Source organism: Homo sapiens, chromosome 6 (genome assembly GCF_000001405.40).
Source record: "Homo sapiens chromosome 6, GRCh38.p14 Primary Assembly".
NCBI classification, from domain to species: domain Eukaryota; kingdom Metazoa; phylum Chordata; class Mammalia; order Primates; family Hominidae; genus Homo; species Homo sapiens.
In genome coordinates this window covers 137,971,135-137,979,589 of record NC_000006.12, presented here as the reverse complement: position 1 = coordinate 137,979,589, position 8,455 = coordinate 137,971,135, and the positions used below count along the sequence as shown (strand labels likewise).

Here is an 8,455-nt window from a genome sequence, read left to right as displayed (position 1 = left end):
ACCAGGATTGGGTTTTGCCAGGCAAGCATGAGGAAGGGAGAAAGCGGTGTAGACATTGAGGGTGGATGCAAGGGAGTTTATCTAAAGTGGAGAGGCAGAGTGGTGTTGACCAAAGCTTTGATTTTTCTTGGAAGGTGGTGTGGTAGAAAGGTTGATACTGGGCTGGGTGTGGTGGCTCACGCCTGTAATCTCAACACTTTAGGAGGCCGAAGTGCGTGGATCACGAGGTCAGGAGTTCAAGACCAGCCTGGCCAAGATGGTGAAACCCGTCTCTACTAAAAATACAAAAATTAGCTGGGTGTGGTGGTGCACACCTGTAGACCCAGCTACTTGGGAGGCTGAGGCAGAAGAATCGCTTGAACTGGGCAGGTGGAGGTTGCAGTGAGCCAAGATTGTGCCACTGCACTCCAGCCTGGGTGACAGAGCGAGACTCCATCTCAAAACAAAACAAAACAAAAACAAAAATTAGCCAGGCGTGGTGGCACATACCTGTAATCTCAGCTACACAGGAGGCTGAGGCAGAGAACTGCTTGAACCCGGGAGGTGGAGGTTGCAGTGAGCTGAGATCGCGCCACTGCCCTCCAGCCTGGGCCACAGAGCGAGACTTCATCTCAGAAAAAAAAAAAAAAGAAAGATTAACACTGGCGTGCCTCAAAAATGACTTCCCTTAAATGTATGGTGCATGATAAATGCAACACAGCGGGTAAAAGATTAATGTGCGGAATACAGCCTACGGCTTTTGATGACTGTGACTCACCTTTGTACCAGTTGCCCAGACTGGTGGCTACTAGTCCTCGGTTTTAGAGGAGAAAAATGAGTGAAGAATAAGTGACATGTTCCTGCACATTTATCAGATGCCTCGGACCACTGTCCAGGTGGCCCTGAACAGGAACAGTCATGCTCTCAGATGAACCTGGCCCTTTTTAGTCAGCATGCCATTCATATAGCAAACTTGGCATCCACCAACTCTTCTTTTATGGGAAGAAGGTTTTGAAAGGTATATTAGTTGTTCCCACCCAGGTGTGAACCACAGTGACTCCCTCATCAGCCCTGCACCTGTCAGAGAACTTCATACAGCTTTTCTGCTTCTTACTCAGCCCAGGGCCTCTTTTCAAGCACATACCTCTAGGCTCTTTCGTTCTTCCTTTACAGCAGGCTCCGGTGACTCAGTCCTCCTTATCTTTACTGTCCCTTGAGGGCCAGGTCCCCTCCTTCCCCACGTTCCCTCCCTTCCTAGTCATCTCAGAAGATAAGTCATTAGGTCCTTTTGATTTTAAAGGAATTATTGCTTATCACAAATATGTAAGACAAGTAACAAATATAATACAGATAACAAAAATTAGCATAGTACAGAGTTTCTAGAATCCTAACAAAAGTTTGTATAATTTTGGTCCAGCTTATGGTTTGTGCTTCTGCCTGTGATGGGGAATGGAAAATTCTGCTTTTAGCCAATTCCCAAGACCAAATTCAATAGCAAAAATCAGATAGTCTCCCACTCCCCGCAATGTCTCCTAAGAGCCCCTCATTCCATCTGTGAGGTCTGACACACACTCCCTGGAGATCAAGATTGGTATCTAAAAACATCTGTTGCTCTCCCCAGTCCAAGATGAGGATATTTTGGTCCAGAGAAGTAAGAAGTTTCCTCATCTTTGGACTGCGGAGAGTAACAAATGTTTTAGAATGGCTGTGAACTCTGGGAATAACAACATTAGTTTTCTTTCTCTTTCCTTTCTCTGGAGCATATCAAAACCACTCTGTAATGGTCACCCTAAAACGACACAATCATAGAATCGAACTGTTTAGGGTTTCTAAACAAAGAGTGCCACAGAACTCAGAGTTAAAAAGCCAAGCAAGCCGGGCGCGGTGGCTCACACCTGTAATCCTCCCAGCACTTTGGGAGGGTGGATCGCCTGAGGTCAAGAATTTGAGACCAGCCTGGCCAACATGGGTGAAACCCCATCTCTACTAAAAATACAAAAATTAGCTGGGCTTGGTGGTGGGCGCCTGTAATCCCAGCTACTTGGGAGGCTGAGGCAGGGGAATCGTTTGAACCAAGGCGGCAGAGGTTGCAGTGAGCCTGCATTCCAGTCTGGCAACAGAGTGAGACTCTGTCTCAAACAAACAAACAAACAAACAAACAAAAAGAAAGCAAGCAGAGGGAAACAGCAGGTGATTCAGGCTAATGAAAGCACTGAGAACCAGACTTGCACCCAATTCCCCAACCCTTATTCACTTCAACATGTGCGCCAAAGGAAACACCCGTCCCACCCCTCCTTATACCACAGAGAGTGCTCAGAGTTGGTTGTTGGAATAACTGGACTTTAATTCCACGTCTGCCATTAGACCAGCTAAGGGACCCTCAGCAAGTGCCCCAGGCTGGGTCTGGTGCTTACCTGGAACCTGGGGCAGTGAGCCAATTGTCTTCCTCATGCTAATATTCTATTCTCTCACGTTTGCTCAAAGCTATGTGTAGAGGTAGGTTAAGTCAATGCATTAACTATGTAGCAAACACAATGTCCATAACGTCTACCTTCTCGTAACAGGGAAAATAGAGATTGCTTTAAATAACCAAATATAGATGGGGCAAAAGGGGCTGGGGAGGCAGACAGGGATTCAGGGCCAGGGTAGAGGTTTTGGACTTTAATCTGAGGACAAGGGAGGCTCTTGAAGGACTTAAAGACAGTAACGTGGTCAGATCTGTATTTTAAAGAGATCTTCTGGCTGCAGTGTGGAGACTATGTTGTGTATGTCTGTGTGTGTGTATGTGCATATGTTTGTGTCTGTGTGTGTAGGGAGGCAGGATGGGAAAGGAGGCTTCTAAACTAGGCCAGAGATGTTGGTCACTTGGACTAGGGTTACAGCAATGAGGCTGGGATGAAGGGGACAGGAAGGAGGAGATTAAGAGGCAAAGTTAAAGGGACTTAGTGCTGGATTGTGGGGTGGGTGGGGGGTAGTTTCAGGGAGGCCACCTAGAGTTTTGCTTTGAGGAGCTGGGTGGTGGTAATGCCATTTCCTGACATAGGGTGTGTGTGTGAGTGTGAGTGCACACTTGTGAGTGTGGTGATATGTGGGGGCTGGTAATGAGAAAGTGGATGAATGAATTCCATCTTGGACCTGCTGGGTTTGAGGTCTAGCATCATTTGAGGAATCCAGATGGTTGAGAACTTTTATTAAATATCAACTGTGCATTTTGTGAGGATACACACCCCCGCTACAAGAATGGAATAGACATTTGCTTTGTTTATTGAGCAAATACTATTTTGATCTTTAAAAATAATCACCCTAACTTTTTTGTGTTGTGTTCTGTCTTTCCCAAAGTATTTGACTTTTGGCTACTCATGTAGGTTGACATCAACGCCACGACTGACCTGGGCAGTTCCCTCATGTTAATATAGCAGATCTTGAATCTGCACCAGCGACTTGAGAGAAAATCACTCTAAACACTCAAAACCACAGAAGTTCCTTCTCAGGACCTCAAACATGCCATAGGCCTACGTACCAAATTTGTTCTATACTTGGATTTTTCTATACTCAGTTTGGAAATAAAGTATGCCTCCTTCCTGGGAGAAATCACAGCCTTCAGGGAAAAGAGAAATATAGCTTTGGGCCTTGGGATTTAAATCACAATGTTAGATGGCATCCACTCTTGGTCGACTGAGGCTCCAACTGCATGGTTGTGTATTTTCAGGTATTTAAGTGATTTTTGAACGCTGCATTTCTTTGACTAGCTGAATATTTAAATTTGCCACAGGATGGCAGCATGATGTTATAAAAGAGAAGAGAAAAAAAACCTTTTAAAGCCCAGGTATTAATGAATAGAGGCCTGGAAAGCAAACATAACTGAGAATTTTTCTTCTTGTTCCTACAACTGTAAAGAAAGGAAGGAATAAAGTATGAGAGAAAGCAATGAAGTAAAAGATGAAAAAAGGGCTGGAGAAATTGAGGGAGGGAAAGCAATTTAAAAAGAAAGTAAAAGCAAAAAGAAAAACACTTCACCTCCAACTAGATCATATTTAACTAAAGAAAAGAACCAAGCTGCTGATGTAGGAAGTTTCCGAGGGAGGAAACCAGTGCTATAACCACATTTATTCACAGCCTCGATGTGTGAGTGCAAGACAGACATTTGACCTTCTTATGAAAGCAGTTGTCTCTTTGGGAAACTATGAGAATGAATTTACATTTACAAAGTTTTCTAGTCCCTTTAAGTAAGTCTTACATTAGCATAATTCCCAGCTTGCATTCAAAACTGATTTTTTTCAATATCCTTCAAAGAGGTCATTAATGTTGGTTTCCATGTTTACATTGTGTAGGGAAATAAGTGAAATTACTCAAGAAGGGAATAAACGGTATTCAGACACACATTGACAGCAATGGCTTCCTGTGATGGAAACGAGAAGGCTGCCTCCAGTTCAGCGCTTCCAGAAGTCTGCAAGCTGGGAAGAGATCTTCCAGAGCTGGCGGCTTGACTCTGCACTGACCAGCCACCACTTACGTGGGCTATTCTTCAGGTCCGTCACCAACTTGCTCTCTCCTCAGTCTAATTAATTTGACTTAGCAGGGAGTTCTGGGATGGGAGAGATCTTAGGAATGGTGATCGGTTTTTCAGCCTTGGCGATAATGACATCTTGGGCCAAATAATTCTTTTTTTAGGGGGCAGGGAGCTGTTCTTCTTATGGTAGGATATTTAGCAGAATCCCTGGCCTCTCTCTATCCGCTCAGTGCTAGTAACGTCCTTCAGTTGTGACATCCAAAAATGTGTCCAGACATTGCTGAATGTCCTCTGGGGAGCAAACTCCCCTCTTCCTCCATTTGAGAACCAGTGTTTTAGATAAACTCTAATTACAAGAATGAAGGAAATTCTGAAAGTTTTCTCTGTCTTACTGTCCTGTTTATGGGCAAAATTGTTATTGAATCATCAGAGATATGTGTGCTCTTCAAATCTATGTTGGAGATTTCCAAACATTAAATCCAGGCATAAAATGCCCTTATTGTAGCAAAGACAACGTTCTCTTATATGAATCAGAAAACAACATATGCTTATTATAAATATTCTGTTGGGCAAAAACTTACACAAAGCATCACAGGGGATGAAAAGCAGTAAGAATTTTTACAGAAATAAAAACAATTACGTTGTTAATTGCCAGGTACTTTTCTTATTCATCAAGATGTCCATGTTCTATTCATTTCATTTAAAGTTTGCAACATCTCTATGGAGAAATATTATTTGCATTTTATAGAGAAAAAAACTGAGGCTGAGAGAAGTTTAATCACTAACTCAATGTTACATTAATAGATAGCAAAACCAGATTAAAACCCAATCTTTCTAACACCAACAACTGTATGTGCTCTAGTACTGGCCACTAACCCTTGAAAATCTTACAATCTAGTTGGGGAAACAATACACGTACATAGGAAAGTTGTCCAATGTCATAAGGCAATAGATGATTTAATCCAAAAGCCATAAAAATTGTTAAGATGCATTGCTGTAGATAAGAGTGGTCTGAGAAATTATGAGGATATGATGGGTCTTGATCTGTATGTATTTAAAGAACCGAGGATTGGAGAGATGGGATGAGATGGGTTCTGTGGCATAAAGCGGCAATCTTCAATGGAACACTGGCCGCACAAGGGTGCTGCCGGAATAGGGTTTTATTATTAACTGCATGTTTGTTCCCCCCAAAATTTATATTTGAAACCGTAGCCCTAATGTAATGGTATTGGGAGAGGGAGCATTTGCGAAGTAATTATGTCAGGAGGTTGGAGCCTTCATTATGGGATTAGTGTTCTTATAAGAAGAGCTAGCACCATCCTCCACCCCCTGCTCCAACTCTTTGCCATATGAGGATACAATGAGAAGACCGCCATCTGCAAACCAGGATGCAGGCCGTCACCTGACACCAGATCCTCCAGCATATTGATCTTGGACTTCCCACCCTCTAGAACTGCAATAAATAAATGTTTGTTTTGAAGCCACCAGTCTGCAATCATTTGTTATAGAAGCCTGAACTGACTAATCAGATAAAGATGGCTACAAGGAGAGGAAGACCTATGTTGAGAAAGGAGAGTGATGCAGGCTAAAAAAGGAAGCTGACAACAGAGGGCAGGGGCCTTGAATACAACCCAGCGGTCATCAATTGGAAGGCCAAAATAATGTATTTTGTTTGGCTCAAGTTTTAAAAATTGGAAAGTTTGCGGGGGGAAGAATTTGGATTTCTGAACATTCTTGAACAAAAAGATGTGGCAACATCAGGCCTACATTCCTGAGTCTCGACTCTTGGCTGAAGCCAAGGAGGAGTTATTCTCATGAACGGGGTCTGGATTTTCCAGTTCACCAGTATCCACATCATGCCCTATTCTTTTACCCTCTTCTTTCTTCTCTTAATTATTTGCTTAGCCCCTCTAAGCAGTGGAATTTGCAATCTTCAGTTTAGAAAATAATGTTTATTAGAAATTAATCTGATAACACCAATTAAAAATCTATTTTTTATAAGTCTGCTAGAAATGAGAGACAAGAAACATTAAACATTTTTACCATATGTCCAAAGATGGTTATTAGGGTTTCCTTTTATTCCTGTCTTTTGTACTGAAATTACCCATGGTTTGTTCCACCTTTCCTGGGGCTATGCAGTGTAAACTTTTCATCACTGTTGTTGCTTGGCGTTGGAGTTGATGTTGATTTTCCCATCTTCATAAACTGTGAGCACCTCATCACTATGTCATTTCCTTCACTCAGGGCTGGTGTGTGACACCACCACAACAAATATTTTTGAGCGCCTACTGTGTTCCAGGCACTGTTCAAGAAATGTAGGCTATCATCGAATAAAACAGACAAACCTGAAGAGTTTATCTCAGGATAAGCTCTGGGAGTTTTATTCGGTGATAGCCCACATTCCCAGAACAGTGCCTGGAACACTGTGGGTGCTCAGAAATATTTGTTGTGGTGTTGTCACACACCAGGCCTGAGTGAAGGAAATAGTATGGTGCTGAGGTGTTCACAGTTTACAAAGGTGGGAAAATCAACATCAGCTCCAACATCAACATCAGCAGACAATAAGCAATGACTGTAATACACAAGTAAATTATATATGTTGGAAAATAATTTGAAAAAGGAAAAATAACACAGTGGGCTAAGAGGGCTGACAGTGGAAAACTGCCATTTTTAAGCAGGGCATTCAGCATCAGCCTCATTGAGAAGATGACATTTAAGCAAAGACTTGAAGGAGGTTGTCGTGGGAAATTACCTCAACAAGATGGGAATCTCCAAGTACCAGGCAAGCTGTTCTGTCATGGAACAGAGGCTCACAGACCAAATTAGGATGTTCAAATCATGCAGATTATCAAATCAACCTAAAACACATGATGAGAAGCAAGAGGAAAGAAATGCTGTAAGTTAACATATGAAATACTTGCAATGAGGTAGAAGCAGGTAGAACCCACAGTATATGAATGCTGGCTTACACATTGTTAATATACTCTTCCTATTTCTTTTTGTCCCCCTCCTGTGTTCCCTTCTCTCCCCTAGCCTTCCCCCCGATGGTGAGGATATAAGGACCAGACTTGGAGCTCAGCAGACAGAGGTGCCTATGGCCAATGCACACTTGCTTTATTAGAGAGACTCAGCACCAAGCACTCCTGGTCAATAGCTGTGGCTCATATTATTAGCCTGTTGAGCAGCTGGGAGCTTTTTCTGATTCTGCTGGGCGGAACACATGTGGCGTCAGAGGAAGGACCACAATACATATCATCCATGGGCAAGCAGTTTGGGGTGACACAGCTGTCAGCCTGGAGGTGGTATGATCCATACCTTACCATTGGTTCTTCTATCCCTTTCTTTATAGAGATAGCTCTCTTGATTATTTTGTGGTTTACAAATCCTATATCTCATTCATTATATCTCTCTTTAACATGTCTTATAAGGTACATACTATATTTAACAAATCTTAGAAATTTCATCCACCCCATTGTTTTTCTCATCTTTTAGAGCAGAATTCAATATTCTCAAGTAGTGAATAATAGTAAACACACTTTACAGAGGGGAAAGAGTCAGCTATGAGAATATCAAGGCTAAGAGTGCACCAGTCAGAAGGATTAGCAAAGGCAAGAATATACCTGGTGCATCTCCAGGACAGCAAGAAAGGCAATATGGCTGGAGTGGAGTCAGTGGGTGAGTGGAGATTAGTAAGAGAGATGGTCAGATTTTTCTGGACCTTATGGCCATTGTAAGAACTGTGTAATAACAAATTTATCCTTCACTGGGTTATATAGTTGACCTTTGAACAACACGAGTTGGACTGCGTGAATCCACTTATATGCAGATTTTCTTCCACTTCTGCCACCCCTGAGACAGCAAGACCAACACCTCGTTTTCCTCCCCCACCCCCCAGCCTCCTCAATGTGAAGAAGATGAGAATGAAGACCTTTATGATGACCCACTTCCACTTAATGAATAGTGAAT

General features: G+C 42.6%; 1 annotated feature.

The window, feature by feature from the left end:
* Window positions 3,946–4,055: an enhancer, noted in NCBI's record as "active region_25158". NCBI's record gives its function as "activates an Ori minimal core promoter by ATAC-STARR-seq in GM12878 lymphoblastoid cells {active_cell/tissue: GM12878}" and the evidence as "EXISTENCE:reporter gene assay evidence [ECO:0000049][PMID:35858748]".